Here is a 17,860-nt window from a genome sequence, read left to right as displayed (position 1 = left end):
TGACCAGAGGAAAATAGTTTTGGTAAAGACAACACAGTGCTTGGGATCAGACGAATTTTGGATTTCAGGGTTTTTTTTGGGATTTGGGAATGTTTGTATTGTACTTAATGGTTGAGCATTCCTAAACAAAATCCAAAATGTTCTGATGAGCAAATTTGAGCATCTTGTTGCTGCTCAGAAAGTTTCGGATTTTCGAGCATTTCAGATTTTGGATTTTCGGATTCAGAATACTCAACCTATTGCAGAGAAACATTAAAGAAAGGAGTTTCTTCTCTTACTTGAAGGGTGTTGTGTATTGAATAGTGAGGTCATGCTTTTTATTCTTTCATATGCATAGGGGAGGAAGATTGAAAGTGTATCGCAGGGCTCTTTGTGTTTCTGTCAATCCCTGCTGTGGAGGGGTTTTTACATTTGTCTTAGATTCTTTCTCCTGAATTCCTGCATCCTATGAATTATTGAAAGGTGTTCTTTGTTTTTAATAGAGCAGAAGAGGAAGGATTTCTGCTGTTAGAATTAGAGAAATTTATCTCTTGGGTTGTTTTGTGAGGCTTATTCACAAGTCACACCAGAGATGTATATACATATATGTACACACGTGCATACATATAATAGTATGTATACATGCATGTGTGTATTTTATATTCCTTTTTACTCTGACAGAGGATTCAAAAGGAGATTGCTTTCTGAGAAAAGAGATTTGTTTCACGTTACTTGCTGCAAAGCACAAAGGGAGTGTTAAGCTTGGCTTTAAAAGGCTCTAGTGTTAGTTACCAGGAAGAGCTTTACTTTGTTGAAGGCACTAATTAATTCAGGAACAGTTAAAAGTGTTTAAATGAACTAAAATTGGGACCCATACATAAAAGGTATTTTAGATGATAAAAATGTATCCCTTTTCATCTGTTGGTGTCTGGTGGTACCATCCTAGTGCAGGCATGTCAAATTTTAGAGTTTAAATTTTCCATTTTTGAAGCCCAGCACAGTGGCGTGTGCCTGTAATCCCAGCTACTTGGGAGGCTGAAGCCGCAGGATCCCTTGATCCCAGGAGTTCAAGTCCAGCCTGGATAACATATTGAGACCCCATCTCCATTGTTAAACCAAAGGAGCACTAATTTTAACACTTAACCTGTCATGCTTTTGATGTTAGTCGAAGCCTTGGAGATATGCAGTATACTTCCCTCATTTCATGAATAAACTAAGACCCAGAGAAATAAAATGATTTAAATTTGCTCTTCAAAGTTTGTAGCAGAACCAAGACTAGAACCCAGGTCGGTTCTTGCTGCTTCAGTCTTAATAGTTAGGGAGTTTCAGCCCTGGTGTCAAACCACAGGTTTGAATGCCAGCTCGGCGGGGTTTTTTTATGCAAGTTATTTAATATTCTGTGCCTTGATTTCTTCATTTGTAAAACAGAAATAATAGTACCTAGCTGATGGGTGCTATGAATATAAACTACGATACCATTGCTTAATAGAGAGATTGTTTAGTCAGAGGTAACATTTTATTTTTATTATCTAGTCTTCTGTCTTAATTTATTTCTATCTTATTCACTCTATTTATTGAATGAAATTAAGTCATTCTTCAAGTAAAGCAGACTTGGTAGAAACAACCACACTGATCTGCTCTTTGCTTTATTCTCAGAACAAGAGTCCGTATCAGATATGGTTTGTTGTATGCGAAGATGTTTGTTTTAATCTTCCAAACCCACTCAGCATGTCAATGGCAGAGAGAAGTGACAATCAGATGCCTGATTTGATCCTTGAACTGAACTTTGATATGTTTCAAATAGATTTTTTCACAGAATAGTAGCCAAAATTTTTCTGTAAAATAAATTTAATCTCAAGTCAGCTAATTTAATAAATGTTTTGGATACCCCCAAAACAGGCTTACCAAGTGACCCACTTGTTGGAACTTTTTAGAAGTAAATACTGGGGGAGGTTTGTAGGGATTTTTCTGTAACATTACCAGTTGTCCCTGTAACTCAAGGAAGTTTTATTGGCAAGATATGCCTTGCTTCATTCTCAGCTTGCAAAGAAAGATTCATCTGTCGTAACATTAATTTTTATTTTTAAATTAACCTGCCTCCACTGAACAGATTGTCACTGCTTTCTCTGAAAGGTCAGGATAAGTTCTGCATATGAGCCTTGGAACAGGGTGATCTTTGAGTCTGGGAGAATGTATTACCATGTAGGTCTGACAGAAGCATCACTTGCCATCAGCGGCCACTGGGCTTTCTATTTCAGTTGACCTGCAGAGCTTAGGATGTTGCATTCTGTGACCACCCCCTCTGCCCAGTAGTTGTAACCCTTCACTATTTTGAGGAAAACAGTTGGTATTTTCCTGTGGTTTGTTTAATCCTCAGGATTCGGTGATGTCCTTCTAAGATCACGTTAGATCAGTCCTGGTCATTCAGTCATTGAACAGTGCCGAGCCAGAGTATGACTCGAAGGGAGTGGAGGCCATTCCATCACGCCCAGGCCAAATGTCCCTCCTCCCTCCGCATGGCGTCAGGCTCTCACATGGTGCCAAAAGCAGTGATGCTGTGGACAGAGGAGACTTGGGACTGGTCTTGACAATTAAATTCAGGAGGGCACTTTTGTTGTTGTTATTGTTTTGAATCCATCTAGAGATAAACCAAAGTAGAAAATAGTTGAGTTGGTTTTTTATTTGCCTTAAAAGAAAAATTGTCTCTGAAAATAATAGTATAGTTTTCCTAATGACCCATTCTATCTAAGAAAGGAAAAAGCAGCTACATTATATTATCTATTAATAGATTTTTAGTCACTGTAAAGCACTTTTGAACATAGTAAGTCAGGGATTTCGAGAGGCTTTACTTGCCTTTTCTAAGATAACAGCATGTTCAAAATCCTTCTTATTAAGCTGCTCAGCAATTCTAGCCTATGGAAGCGTGAAACTATGTTTTAAAGACTTCACAGCCCATAAATTGAGCCAGGTGGCTTCTGAATTGTGTTACTGCAAGGCACTTCCTGTTAAATAACCGGGTGTGTCTGTGTTAATTTTTTTTAATGGAGTTGACATTCAGTGCCACTCAGACATTTCAACATAAAAAACCCTCCAACGTTGTTACCTACACATTGTAACCTAGCACATTGTCACCTTGAGAGACTGTTGTATGAAAGGAACTCTTTAGTAAAGGAAAAATTCCACAATTCTGAGTTCTCACTTATTTAACATGTTACTGAGTATAGCATCACATTCTAAAGAAACTGGAGGCCGGGCGCAGTGGCTCACGCCTATAATCCTAGCGCTTTGGGAGGCCCAGGAGGGCGAATCACCTGAGGTTTTGAGACCAGCTTGGCCAACATGGCAAAACCCTGTCTCTACTAAAAATACAAAAAGTAGCCAGGCATGGGGGCGTGCGCCTGTAATCCCAGCTACTCGGGAGGCTGAGGCAGGAGAATCACTTGAACCCAGGAGGTGGAGGTTGCAGTGAGCTGAGATCGCACCACTGCGCTCCAGCCTGGGCGACAGCGAGACTCTGTCTCAAAAAATAAAATAAATAAATAAATAAGTAAACTGGAATCATTTTTTGTCAGCAGGCTGAGTGACCCTCTGACAAGTCTTGTAACTTGTTTGTAGTGTCAGTGTGTTTAAATGCAGAGGAACACTAGTCTGTGTGCCCGTGTACACACAGCCTTACTAGAGTTTAAAGAAATTGCTTGTAACTTTCCTTTCTGATTAGTTATGATCAATAAGATGGTTTTGGTTTTTAAATATAGGCAATGGTCACAAAGCTGGACTTTTCACAGCTGTGTCAGACCAAACTAAATATTTCTTGAAAACATAATTTACAGGGCATTTGTATAACCTTGCTTATAAGTATCTTACAAATTTTGCACTTTAGCTATATAAATTGTACTCTTTAATAGGCATTAGTAGGATGGTGGGGGTTCTTTTGGTTATATGTTAAGCCACCAAACCTCTTGGCTGGAAAAGATGTAGCAATACCATTTAAAGAAGTTTGCACGAGTTGTATACAGATTTCAGAGAATTCCATCCTATTCTAAAACTTCATGGAAATGAATTTGGAATCTCACAGGGAAGTAAACAGCTCCAGTCTTTTTTTCACTGATAATCACATGTGACAGATGTGTTTACGTAGAGGAACAGGAACCTTAAAAAAAAGTTTTTTACTTTCACATGATTCAACAGTTATTACACAGTGCCTGAATGTAGGTCTAATTGTTCTCTAAGATACCACTTTTAAAGCTAAAAAAGATGAGTTTTATGTGGTGTTTGAAAGAGCGTTATATGTCTTGTAGCATTATATATTTTGGATTCTTATACCAAGCATCCCTGTCTTTGCAGTTGCCACCAACTACTTGGGAAACAAAAGAAGTGTCCTGTGTATGTAGCCAGCCTCCTCCTAGAAAGATAGGAGTCTACTTTGAGAAGTCTCCCTACCTCTTTCAGTGCCTGTTGGCACAAAGCAAAGTGGTTTCACCTGAAGAGAAGACAAAGTTGATCCTTAGTTTGCAAAATCCACCTAACCTTTGCTAAGCATGAACCTCATTGCTTTCTCTTTAATGTTAGTGAAGCTGGATGTCAAAATGGTACCAACCAGTATTTTCTTTGCTCTCTTCTAGATATGGTTTTGTGGAGTTTGATGATCTGCGTGATGCAGATGATGCTGTTTATGAACTGAATGGCAAAGACCTTTGTGGTGAGCGAGTAATTGTTGAGCATGCCCGCGGCCCACGGCGAGATGGCAGTTACGGTTCTGGACGCAGTAAGCATTCAAAGGGCATACTTTTATCAGTAACGTGCTTTTGTTATCATGCTAATTTTTAAAGTAATTAATTGATATTACATTTAAACGTATTGATGTTTAAGCTATTTTGTAAATTATGTATCTTTTTTAAAAATGTAGAATTACAAATAAGCCTTTGATAATGTTTAATTTTAATTAAACTAATGACAATTTCTTGTTTATAATACTTTATAAATATGTTTAATGATGTGTGTTTGTGTTGTTGTTGTTTTTTTCTCTGTAATGCAATTGTTTAACATAGATTTAACAAAGACCTCAATGTTTTAATTAAAAGAATCCTTTGAGGCTAAGATGACTGCCTGTTCCATTTGCTGACCTTGGGTTACCTTTCCATGCGTGGCTCTTTGAACCATTGTGGCCCTTGGCTGACCAAAAACAGGAAGCCATGTGACGACCGCAACCTTTCCCCATTAGACCTGGGTGGTGAGGATCCCAAGGGTTAGACACAGATGAGATTAAACTGAAATAGGTGCCTGAAAATCTTTTTTTTTCCATATAAAATATTCACAAAATGTTTAATCACTGTGAGTAACACCAGTAACTGATTTAGTAATTTGGTTACTTATTTCTAAATTGTTAAATTGTTAATAGTTTTAAATTTATGCATGTTAATCTTAAATGCAAATATTAATGAATATGTATACTTACAACTTTTTAAATTAAATGTTTATATTTAGCTGATTGCTTCTTTAAAAATCTATTTTAGAATTAAGGGTGGGAATAGAGTTAAAACGTGCTATTGTTTGGGGTGGGGGTAAATAATATATTTAAGGGGGGGTGTGTGCTGTGTCATTTTTTTTCCTTTTCTTCCACTGAAATAATCTTATTTATTTGAACCTTCCAAAGGTGGATATGGTTATAGAAGAAGTGGCCGAGATAAATATGGCCCTCCTACTCGCACAGAGTACAGACTTATTGTGGAGAATTTGTCAAGTCGGTGCAGCTGGCAAGACCTAAAGGTTTGGGCCCCATTAACCTTTTGGGGTAAGGTTGGGCAGGAGTTAAAGTTGGGAAACAGGTAGATTTGTGCAGGCCCAGGCATACACAAAATACAGTGTTATATGTTTGAAAGCCTGCACAGAGCTGGAAATAATTAAAGTGCCATATGAGTACAAAATATATCAGAATTATATTCCTGCTATACATTGTGGGACCATCATTCTAAGGACACATTTGTGAGTTTGGTTTGGTTTGGTTTGGTTTGGTTTGGTTTGGTTTGGTTTGTTTGAGATGGAGTCTCGCTGTGTTGCCCAGGCTGGAGTGCAGTGGCACCATCTCTGCTCACTGCAGCCTCCGCCTCCCGGGTTCAAGCAATTCTCCATCTCAGCTTCCTGAGTAGCTGGGATTACAGGCACCCGCCACCATGCCCGGGTAATTTTTTTGTATTTTTAGTAGAGACGAGGTTTCACCATCTTGAACTCCTGACCTTGTGATCCACCCGCCTCAGCCTCCCAAAGTGCTGGGATTACAGGCGTGAGCCACCGCGCCCGGCCTGATTTTGTTTTGTTACAGAGTCTCTGTTGCCTAGGCTGGAGTGCAGAGGCACAATCATGGCTCAGAGATTGGTTGTCACTATGTTACCCCGACTGGTCTCGAACTCCTGGCCTCAAGTGATCCTTCAGTCTCAGCCTCCTCAAGTGCTGACATGACAGAAACCTGGCCCAAATGTGTGATAACGAAATTTCTCTCTGTAAAGAATGTTTGAAACCCTGTCTCTACTTAAAAAGATACAAAAATTAGCCGGGCGTGGTGGTGGGCACCTGTAGTCCCAGCTACTTGGGAGGCTGAGGCAAGAGAATTGCTTGAACCTGGAAGGTGGAGGTTGTAGTGAGCCAAAATCATGCCACTGCACTCCAGCCTGGGCAGTAGAGCAGGACTCTGTCTCAAAAAAAAAAAAAAGGGTTACAAGAAGATGGCAGTGTAGCTACTCACCAGTCAATAAAATGGTTGAAACCATCAGTGTTTCCTGCAGCATTTGCTATAACATGCAAATTCACATCAGCTTCAGTGTGTATCCTTACTGGTGAAATTGACAATCTGACCCATGTTTTTTCATAAGGTTTTTGATGGAATATTTGTCCTGAAAGAGGTTTGGTGTCAAGAATTAAGATTCAGTGCTAATGTTGGCCATCCAGTGTACTGGTTCCAGCTTTTTTTTTTTTTTGAGATGGAGTCTCGCCCTTTCGCCTAGGCTGGAGTGCAGTGGCGCCATCTCAGCTCACTGCAACCTCCGCCTCTGGGGTTCAAGTAGTTCTGCCTCAGCCCTCTGAGTAACTGGGATTACAAGTGCATGCCACCATGCCCGGCCAATTTTTGTATTTTAGTAGAGGCGGGGTTTCACCATGTTGACCAGGCTGGTCTCGAGCTCCTCCTGACCACAAGTGATCCACCTGCCTTGGCCTCCTAAAGTGCTGGGATTACAGGCGTGAGCCACTGCACCCGGCCCCACTTATTGACAACAGTGTTTTTAATCTCAATAGGAAGAAAAACTTACTGAGCAGTATCATAATCTGAATGGTCTTAGGAGGATGCATGAAACAGGTTTTGTTTTCTGTCTCCCTTCTCGCTTTTTTTGGCCATATTTAAACAAGTCATCTCTAGCCAAATGAGTGAAGTGTATTTAGGTTCAGGAAAGAATAGTTAGGAATCCTTTACATTTGTATAGTTTAATTTAAAGCACTTTTTTGTTTTTCTTTTTAAAATTTAATCCCAGCAACCTTCAAGTAACATGCAGAAGAGCTGGGACCAGGACTCCTGACTCCCAGTCTGCTGTTTTTTCAGGTGCATCATGCTTATCGTCAGCACCGTAGCAGACCTTTACTGAATGTCTGCCAGCAAGATTCTGCTTGCTGAAGGAATGACTCCAGTATTCTGAGAGTTAGGGATTGAACATCATGGGTAGAAACTGGAAAGCTACTCTCTTCATCAGTAGAATGCTAACTCGTCATGTAGTGCCACTAAATGTAATATTAAATTAACTTCTTAGAAAACCTCTTAATTTTTTTGTTAGAACAGAGCTTAGTTACTGTTGGGGGAAAGGCTTATGGGGTGCCTGTATAAACTGGCCATAAAAATATGGGACAATAAATTGTGCAAAGCCACAAGAGGCCTCTTGTGGGAGGAGGAAAGCCTTATCACCATTATGTTCCCATGCTCTCAGCAAGACTTGCTCTCTTATCCATAAACACTGTGTTCAAGGAGAAAGACACTCCTTTGAAGCACTGGAATGTGGCCAGACATGCAGGCTCCTAGTTAAGCTCGCTCCCACCAGCTACTCTCCGATAAGTTAAAGATATGCTGTCTAAGCACAAAGGAGATTCATTTAAACTGCCACTGCTGTAGATTACGTGTATGACGCACTGCCTTCCTTTCAGCACTGCCTGCCTTTCACCGTTTCGTCCTGAATGTCTGCTTCTTAGATCTAAGTGATTGTACTCAGTAAATAGTGTGGAGACCAGAACTCTGAGCCTTTTGCAGCCTCCATTTTGCAATTGGCCCCCTGGCCCCCACTCTTTATGCACTCTTAACCTCTCTCTTCTCATTCCTTCGTCGCCACCAGACTTTGGGTACCCTACGGGTGGTGTTGAGGCTGGTCCCCAACAGTTACCACCCTTAGTTGGTTCTACATGTCTGTACCTTCAGGCAGTTCCACTCTCAGGAAACGAGAGTAATAGATAATTGAGCAGATTTCCTAGCTCTCAAGGTGGCCAACCTGAATAGAATCCTGGTTCTGCCACTAAGGTCACTTACATGACCCTTAGCAAGTTACTTACATCTTATGCCTCATATTCCTCAACTATAAAATGGGGTTAATACTAATTTCTACTCAAGGTTATTGAAAGAATTTAGTGAATTTTATATATAAAAAGCCTAGAACAGTTTCTGGCACAATGTATGTTAGCTATTTATCAAGGAAATGCAAAAATAAAACAAATTAGGGGATATTAGTAGTTTAAAAAATAAATTTTTTTTTTTTTTTGAGACGAAGGTCTTGCTCTGTCGCCTGGGCTAGAATGCAGTGGCACAATCTCGCTCACTGCAACTTCCACCTCCTGGGTTCAAGCGATTTTCATGCCTCAGCCTCCCAGGTAGCTGGGGTTACAAGCGCCTGCCACCACGTCTGGTTGATTTTTGTATTTTTAGTAGAGACAAGGTTTCACAAAGTTGCCAGGCTGGTCACAAACTCCTGACCTCAGGTGATCTCCTGGCCTTGGCCTCCCAAGGTGTTGGGATTACAGGTGTGAGCCACTGCACCTGGCCAAAAATAAATTTCTTTTTGTTCTGTTTTGTTTTGTTTTTTGAGATGGAGTCCCGCTCTGTCAGCAGGCTGGAGTGCAGTGACACTATCTCGGCTCACTGCAACCTCCTAATCATATCTCCTCTTATTTATATAATGCTTTAGCATTTGTCTAGGACATTAGTTGTATTCTCTCATTGAACCATAGGAAGTCCTCAAAGAGAATGAGGAAAGAGGCCTGTGGTATTGAAGGGACATGATGGTTATAAACAAATAATTTGTCACTATAAGATTTAGAAAATGGGCTGGGCACAGTGACCCATGCCTATAATCCTAGCACTTTGGGAGGCTGAGGCAGGTGGATTGCCTGAGCTCAGGAGTTTGAGACCAGCCTAGGCAATATGGCAAAACCCCATCTCTAATGAAAACACAAAAAATCAGCTGGGTATGGTGGCGCGGACCTGCAGTTCCAGCTGTTGGGGAGGCTGAGGCACAGAATCACTTGAACCTGGGAGGCAGAGGTTGCAGTGAGCCGAGGTCACATCACTGCACTCCAGCTGCCTGAGCGACAAAGCAAGACTCTGTTTTTTGTTTGTTTTTAAATTTAGAAGATGATAGCTAACTGAAAACTTCTATATTCACACAAAACTTTATTTTTTTGTTTTGAGGTAGGGTCTTGCTCTGTACCCCAGGCTGGAGTGCAGTGGCATGATCACGGCTCACTGCAGCCTCAACCTCCTTGGGCTCAGATGATCCTCCCACCTCATCCTACTGGGTAGCTGGGACCACAGGCGTGTGCCACTACACCTGACTAATTTTTTCAATTTTTGTAGAGATAGGGTCTTCTGTGTTGTCAAGGCTGGTCTTGAATTCCTGGGATCAAGCAATCCTCCCGCCTCAGCTTGTCAAAGTGCTGGGATTACAGGCATGAGCCACCACACTTGGCCCCAAAACTTTATTTAAAGGAACAATTTAATGTGTATTTATTGTCTCTCCCACCCACCTAATATGGCTGGTGCTTTAAAGAACCTCAGTACATGATTGATGGGTAGATGAAAATATTTAAGAGTAAACTTTATTCTGCGGAATGCTGGCATTTCTTAAAGGAAAAATTCACTCAGATGATTGCATTAGATATTTTAGCAAAACATATCCTAATGTAGTCACACTTTTTTTTTTCTTCAGGATTATATGCGTCAGGCAGGAGAAGTGACTTATGCAGATGCTCACAAGGGACGCAAAAATGAAGGGGTGATTGAATTTGTATCTTATTCTGATATGAAAAGAGCTTTGGAAAAGTTGGATGGAACTGAAGTCAATGGGAGAAAAATCAGATTAGTTGAAGACAAGCCAGGTTCCAGACGACGCCGGTCCTACTCCAGAAGCCGGAGTCATTCAAGGTACTGTTGATGTCTTTTGTGTGTTGGAGCTCATCATAAATTCATTAGTGAGCACATAGATAATTTATTTACATTTTCCTGTTGAGTTCTTAATAACATGATTCCATCTGGTTCAATAACTTAGAATTTTGAACTGAACATTTATTTGTAAAACTCTTGAACTCTTAGGTCATGAGTACAAATAGAAGTCCCTTCTCTTAGAAATCAGAGGCCTTGCTCACGCCTGTAATCCCAGCACTTTGGGAGGCCAAGGTGGGCGCATCACAAGGTCAGGAGTTCAAGACCAGCCTGACCAATATGGTGAAACCCCATCTGTACTAAAAATACAAAAATGCTGGGCGCTGTGGCGCATGTCTGTAATCCCAGCACTTTGGGAGGCCGAGGTGGGTGGATCACCTGATGTCAGGAGTCGAGACCAGCCTGGCCAACATGGCGAAATCTTGTCTCTACTAAAAATAACAAAATTTAGTTGGGCGTGGTGGGTGCCTATAATCCCAGTGACTCGGGAGGCGGAGGCAGAAAAATTGCTTGAAAATTGCTTGAACCCAGTAGGGGCAGAGGTTGCAGTGAGCCGAGATTGTGCCATTGCACTCCAGCCTGGGCAACAAGAGCGAAACTCCATCTCAAAAAAAAAAATGGTGTGGTGGCGCACGTACCTGTAGTCCCAGCTACCCAGGAGGCTGAGGCATGGGAATCGCTTGAACCCAGGAGGCAGAGGTTGCAGTGAGCCGAGATCGCACTATTCCACTCCAGCCTGGGCGACAGGGAGACTCCATCTCAAAAAGGGAAATCAGAGGCCGGGCACAGTGGCTCACGCCTGTAATCCCAGCACTTTGGGAGGCCAAGGCGGGCAGATCACCTGAGGTCAGGAGTTCGAGACCAGCCTCAATATGGAGAAACCCCGTCTCTACTGAAAAAATACAAAAAAATTAGCTAGGCGTTGGTGGTGCATGCCTGTAATCCCAGCTACTCGGGAGGCTGAGGCAGGAGAATTGCTTGAACCTGGGAGGCGGAGGTTGTGGTGAGCCAAGCGCACCGTTGCACTCTAGCCTGGGCAACAAGAGCAAAACACCGTCTCAAAAAAAAAAAAAAAAATGGAAATCAGAGGCCACCTTTCACATTTCTTCTTGGGACCCCTAGATCCTACTACCTTGGTTGATGGCACACATGGCAATTTTGTCTTACTTAGCACCTGAACAGGCCAGGCACTGGGCTAAGCATTGGAAAGGCTTTGTAAAGAAGACAAATGGCCAGACGCGGTGGCTTACACCTGTAATCCCAGCACTTTGGGAGGCTGAGGCGAGTGGATCACCTGAGGTCAGGAGTTCAAGACCAGCCTGGCCAACGTGATGAAACCCCATCTCTACTAAAAATACAAAAGTAAAAAAAAATTAGCCAGGCATGATGGCACACGCCTGTGGTCCCAGCTACTAGGGAGGCTGAGGCAGGAGAATCGCTTAAACCGGAACCCAGGAGGCAGGGGTTGCAGTGAGCAGAGATCACTCCACTATACTCCAGCCTGGGCGACAGAAAGAGACTCTGTCTCAAAAAAAAGACAAATATGGTCCTTGCCCCCCTGAAACTCAGTCTAGCGTAGAAGATGAGTATTGAATAAACCGTGCTATTGTGACAAGAAAATGCACACAGCACAACTAGTCTAGAGAGCTGGCAACAGCTTCCCTAAGGACATGCTGTAGAACTGAGCCCTAATGAATAAGGCAGAGAGATGGTGAGCAGAAGAAAATGCCTTTCTTTCTTTCTTTTTTTTTTTTTGAGACGGAGTTTCTTTCACTCTGTCACCCAGGCTGGAGTGTAGTGGCACAATCTCGGCTTACTGCAACTTCCACCTCCCGGGTTCAAGCGATTCTCCTGCCTCAGCCTCCTGAGTAGCTGGGATCACAGGTGCACACCACCATGCCTGGCTAATTTTTGTAATTTTAGTAGAGACAGAGTTTCACCATGTTGGGCAGACTGGTCTCGAACTCCTGACCTCAGGTGACCCACCCACCTCGGCCTTCCAAAGTGCTTGGATTACAGTCTTGAGCCACCGTGCCCGTCGAGAAAATGCCTATCTATCTAACAGAAAAGGGTGTTTCTGAAGGCCTGGGGGCAGGAGAAAGTTTTCCAGAGTAGAGAAGCTAATATAGAGAGGTAACGGGAGGAGAGTGGCTTGAGATAAGGCAGAGAAGGACCAGATATACTGACCATTAGGCCAGAGCAAGAATGGAAGAGTAGTGAGAAGTCACTGGAGACTTTTCAGGTTTTGTTATTTAGGTCTTTTGACTTTTTATTATGGAAAATTTGAAATTTATATATGAAGCATTGGAGAACTCTGAATTGCACCTCCCACTCCTCCAGCTTCTGTAGTTTTTATTTTGCCAGTCTTGTTTCACATCACCCGCTCCTGCTGCATTGTTGTAAGGCAAGTCTAGACATCTATCATTCCATCTGCAACTGCTTCAGTATGTATCTGTAGTATTTTAAAAGAAACCATGATAACATAGCTAGCAAAATTAGCAATAATTCCATACTATGATGTAATATCTAGGTTGTATTCCAATTTTTCAGTTGTTTGTTTGTTGTAGAAATGGAGTCTTGCTATGTTACCCAGGCTGGTCTTGAACTCCTGGGTTCAAGCGGTCCTCCCACCTCAGCCTCCCAAAGTGCTGAGATTACAGACGTGAGCCACTGCACCCTGCCCTAGTTGTCTCAAATAGGTATTTTTGCAATTGGTTTCTTCAAACAAAAGTTGAAAGAATAGTTAATGAACACCTGTATACCCTCCTCTGGCTTTAACAGATAGCATTTTGCCTTTTCTCTCTTTGTATGTATGTATTTATACAAGCACACTGTACATTTATTTTGTTGTAGCATTTGAAAGTAAGTTGTAGAAATTATGATACTTTGCCCCTAAATACTTCAGCATGTGTCTCCAAGAATGAGGATAACCACAGTTCTGTTTTTTCACCTAAGAACATTAATAGTAATTCCATCTAATTACTAAATGCCCAGGCCATATTCATGTTTCCCCAGTTACTCCATGGATGTCTTTATAGCTGGGTTTTTTCTTAACCGGGATCTAATCCAGTCATGTAGTACAAGGGGTTTTTAGGTAAAACCTAATGTAGTCAGGCTTTTAGTGTGGAGCAGTTCCTTCATGACATTTATTTTGCTTAGGTTTGGGTTTTTTTGTTTGTTTGAGACGGACTCTTGCTCTGTCGCCCAGGCTGGAGTGCAGTGGCACCATCTCAGCTCATTGCAGCCTCTGCGTCCCAGGTTCAAGCTATCCTACTGCCTCAGCCTCCCAAGTAGCTAGGATTACAGGCGTGAGCCACCACTCCTGGCTTATTTTTCTTAGTTTTTTAATACTCACATTCTGTATTTATCTGTTTCTTCTTAGTATCATTGAACTTGTATCTTATCCCCTGAACTTCCTATATACTGGAAGTTAGGTCTGGAGAGGTGTGATTGAGATGCAGGTTAAACATTTTTAGCAAGAATACTTCATAGGTGATGGTGCCTGGGCAGCTTTGAAAGTTTCCCTCTTTCTGTCATAATGAGATGGTCTAGGCCCATCTTTGTGTACTACTTCCTGCTTTACGCCTGGAGTCAGTCATTTTCCCAAGGAGTCCTGGTTGGTAGAAAATAAGAATCTACAGTCTGGATGCATTAAAAAAATTTTGTAAAGCTTGGATTGTCGGTCTCTTTAAAACAGCTCTCGTCACAGTGAGTTGAATAGATCGTAAAGGGGAAAAGTATACACAGAAAGGCTGGTTGTTGAACAAGGGGAGAGATAATGGTGGCTTGCCCAGAGAGGCAGCAGCAGAGGTAGAAAGACCGAAGATCAGGAGGCATGATCGTGGGTGTGTAAGGGGATAGGGGAAAGACGGGGGAGTCAAGGATGGCTGTGATTTCTGTTACGAGGAACCATATGAATAACAGTGGCATCAGTGCACATAAGGAGCCCAGCAAAAGGAGCCGGCATCGGGGACAGTTAGAATTTCAGGAGCTGCTAAGAGGTTCAGGTGAACCATCCAGATGGAAGGTTTGCAGGTGACTTCATCTGTGGACCTAGAACCCAAGAGAGAGTTTGTGCCTGGACACAGCCAGTGCTGTACATATTGAAAATCTTGGCCGGGTACGGTGGCTCATGCCTGTAATCCTGGCATTTTGGGAAGTCGAGGCAGGTGGATCACCTGAGGTCAGGAGTTCGAAACCAGCCTGACCAACATGGAGAAACCCCGTCTCTACTAAAAATACAAAATTAGCCAGGCGTGGTAGCACATGCCTGTAATCCCAGATACTTGGGAGGCTGAGGCAGGAGAATCGCTTGAACTCAGGAGGTGGAGGTTGTGGTGAGCCGAGATCGCGCCATTGCACTCCAGCCTGGGCAACAAGAGTGAAACTCCATCTAAAATATATATATATAATATATATAGTCTTGATTGATGCTCATCAGCAGCCTCTTGTCAGCAAGTATTAAAAAATATTTTCTCCCCCTAGGTCTCGCTCTCGAAGCAGACATTCCCGTAAGAGCAGAAGCCGAAGTGGCAGCAGCAAAAGCAGTCATTCTAAGAGTAGATCTCGGTCCAGGTATGTCTTCCATGTTATAAGTAGAGGTGGTCAGCAGGGAATGCCTGTACCCTGTCTCACTTTTTTTTCTTTTTTTTTTCAAAGAGACACTCTGTCACCCAAGCTGGAGTCCAGTGGTACAGTCATGGCTCACTGCAGCCTCACCTCACTGGGCTCAAGCAAGCTTCCACCTCAGCCTCCCAAGTAGCTGGGACTACAGGCACATACTACCACACCCAGCTAATTTTTTAATTTTTTTTAGAGACAGGGTCTCACTATGTTGCCCAGGCTAATCTTAAACTCATGACCTCAAATAGTCCTCCCAGACTACTGCGATTACAGACATGAGCCACTGTGCCCAGCCTCACTTGGATTTCAATCATGTGACCAGTCTTCCTGCTTTTCCAGCTTCTTTTTCTTTTTTTTTTTTTTTTTCCCCCCTCAAGACAGAGTCTCGCTCTGTCGCCCAATCTGGAGTGCAGTGGCGCGATCTCGGCTCACTGCAACCTCTGCCTCACGGGTTCAAGCGATTCTCCTGCCTCAGCCTCCTGAGTAGCTCGGTTTACAGGCGTGTGCCAGCATGCCTGGCTAATTTTTGGTATTTTTAGTAGAGACGGGGCTTCACCATGTTGGCCAGGCTGGCTCTTGAACTCCTGACCTCGCGATCCGCCTGCCTTGGCCTCTCAAAGTGCTGGGATTATGGGCATGAGCCGCCGCACCTGGCCAGTTTTTCCAGCTTCTGATTGGCATTGTGAGGGTTCAGAAAACAATCCTCAGCCAGTGCCAGCCATGCTTTATATTGGGGGGTGTAACTCCACATGTATGCCCTTTGGTCTTTTTATCTCCTGATTAGCATGAAGTCACATGTGACACAAACAGTATCCCATGTCTCCTCAGGTCGGGCTCCCGCTCCCGGAGCAAGAGCCGGAGCCGGAGCCAGAGTCGGAGCCGGAGCAAGAAAGAGAAAAGCAGGAGCCCCAGCAAGGAAAAGAGCCGCAGCCGCAGCCATAGCGCTGGCAAGAGCCGCAGCAAGAGCAAAGACCAAGCTGAAGAGAAGATCCAAAACAATGACAATGTCGGGAAACCCAAGAGCCGGAGTCCTAGCAGGCATAAAAGTAAGAGCAAAAGTCGGAGCAGGAGTCAGGAGAGGAGAGTGGAGGAGGAGAAGCGAGGGAGTGTGAGCAGGGGCAGGAGCCAGGAGAAGAGCCTCCGCCAGAGTCGGAGCCGGAGCAGGAGCAAAGGGGGCAGCAGGAGCCGGAGCAGGAGCCGCAGCAAGAGCAAGGACAAGAGGAAGGGCAGGAAGAGAAGCAGAGAGGAGAGCCGCAGTCGCAGTCGCAGCCGCAGCAAGAGTGAGAGGAGCAGAAAGCGAGGCAGCAAGCGAGACAGCAAGGCGGGCAGCAGCAAGAAGAAGAAGAAGGAAGACACTGACCGCTCCCAGTCCAGATCTCCATCCCGCTCCGTGTCAAAGGAGCGGGAACATGCCAAGTCTGAATCCAGCCAGAGGGAAGGTCGAGGAGAGAGTGAGAATGCTGGCACCAATCAGGAGACCCGGTCCAGGTCGAGATCCAATTCCAAATCGAAACCAAACCTTCCATCAGAATCACGCTCCAGATCAAAGTCAGCTTCAAAAACCCGATCTCGGTCCAAGTCTAGATCCAGGTCTGCTTCCAGATCGCCCTCCCGATCTAGATCTAGGTCCCACTCAAGGTCCTAACTGGCTATGGCCACAGCTGGAACTACCCGAGAAGTCTTTTGTACATGTTTGGTAGCCGTAGCACAAGTGATTGGAGTAGAACATGTCACTGCTGTACATTTTTAACTCCCCTAATGGTGTGTCTATAATTGTTAAATCTAAGTGCTTCCTCTCAGTAAAGCCTCCTGGCACCAGGCCTTCCTGCTCGACTGAAAAAAATTTTCTCTTTGAAAATCCCCTTTTACTCATGGCCCACAGTAGAATATCCAAAACGCCTTGGCTTTCAGGCCTGGCCTTTCCTACAGGGAGCTCAGTAACCTGGACGGCTCTAAGGCTGGAATGACCACATAGGTAGGTATGGTGAGTTCAACCATTTTTGCTCTTGAATTGATGCCCTTCGATGTATGCCATTTAGTGAAAGTGCTAAGTCTTAAGTTTCCTACCACTTTGGTTTCATATTTTTGGACTTAACAAAGTTGTGAATAGCACAGTCGAGGAAAATTGATACCTGCAGTAACCCATAGGAAATAAACTGTAGAGTTCCATATTCTGGTATTGTGATTATATTGTTTTATATTAAAAAAGAAAAGAAAAGAATTTTTTTTAATTTTATTTTTCCCCGTCTTGCAAAGTATAGTGACCCCTGTTTCCATTAAATTTGAATAAAGACTATTTTTGCTTGACAAAATTTCATGGTGTTTGAATTGAAGTTGTACTTTCTGATATATCTTGATATGTCTTTTCTTAGCATAAAAAGTTCATGTGTAGGCCGGGCACGGTGGCTCACGCCCGTAATCCCAACAGTTTGTGAGGCTTAGGCAGACGGATCACAATGTCAGGAGTTCGAGACCAGCCTGACCAACATGGTGAAACCCCGTCTCTACTGAAAATACAAAAATTAGCCAGGCATGGTGGTACACGCCAGTAATCCCAGCTACTCAGGAGAATGAGGCAGGAGAATCGCTTGAACCCCGAGGGGTGGAGGTTACAGTGAGCTGAGATCACGCCACTGTACTCCAGCCTGGGCGACAGAGCGAGACTCCGTCTCAAAAAAAAAAAAAAAAAAAGTTCATGTGTAATGACTGTTTTGTTCCTTGGGATCACCCATCTTAGGGAACCAACACGTTCCTAAAGGATTTTTCTCACCAACAGAATAAAGGCAGGTTTCCGAG

The 17,860-nt window shown here is 43.3% G+C and overlaps 1 protein-coding gene across 5 annotated transcripts in view, besides 2 other annotated features; it reads left to right on the top strand.

The window, feature by feature from the left end:
* Positions 1-17,376, top strand: part of SRSF4 (serine and arginine rich splicing factor 4) — a 34,158-nt gene extending 16,782 nt beyond the window's left edge. For 2 of the 5 annotated variants that reach the window (XM_047427708.1, XM_047427706.1), the window contains 5 exons: positions 4,324-4,744; positions 5,633-5,745; positions 10,209-10,423; positions 14,927-15,016; positions 15,893-17,376. In XM_047427708.1, coding sequence (XP_047283664.1) covers positions 4,558-4,744; positions 5,633-5,745; positions 10,209-10,423; positions 14,927-15,016; positions 15,893-16,709 — 1,422 coding nt within the window. In that variant the 5' untranslated portion in view covers positions 4,324-4,557 and the 3' untranslated portion in view covers positions 16,710-17,376. Of the gene's footprint in view, positions 1-4,323; positions 4,745-5,108; positions 5,256-5,632; positions 5,746-10,208; positions 10,424-14,926; positions 15,017-15,892 lie in introns of those variants that run through there. The other 3 variants (NM_005626.5, XM_047427714.1, XM_011541951.4) reach the window with 3 other exon arrangements.
* Positions 17-637: an enhancer, noted in NCBI's record as "OCT4-NANOG-H3K27ac-H3K4me1 hESC enhancer chr1:29490994-29491614 (GRCh37/hg19 assembly coordinates)". NCBI's record gives its function as "activates a minimal SCP1, AML or CMV promoter by ChIP-STARR-seq in naive H9 embryonic stem cells {active_cell/tissue: H9 hESC(naive)}" and the evidence as "EXISTENCE:reporter gene assay evidence [ECO:0000049][PMID:30033119]".
* Positions 8,235-8,736: an enhancer, noted in NCBI's record as "H3K27ac hESC enhancer chr1:29482895-29483396 (GRCh37/hg19 assembly coordinates)". NCBI's record gives its function as "activates a minimal SCP1, AML or CMV promoter by ChIP-STARR-seq in primed H9 embryonic stem cells {active_cell/tissue: H9 hESC(primed)}" and the evidence as "EXISTENCE:reporter gene assay evidence [ECO:0000049][PMID:30033119]".
* Positions 17,377-17,860: the final 484 nt, after the last annotated feature.

Source organism: Homo sapiens, chromosome 1 (genome assembly GCF_000001405.40).
Source record: "Homo sapiens chromosome 1, GRCh38.p14 Primary Assembly".
NCBI classification, from domain to species: domain Eukaryota; kingdom Metazoa; phylum Chordata; class Mammalia; order Primates; family Hominidae; genus Homo; species Homo sapiens.
The sequence above is the reverse complement of the archived record's forward strand: the minus strand, read 5'-3'. Positions and strand labels throughout refer to the sequence as shown.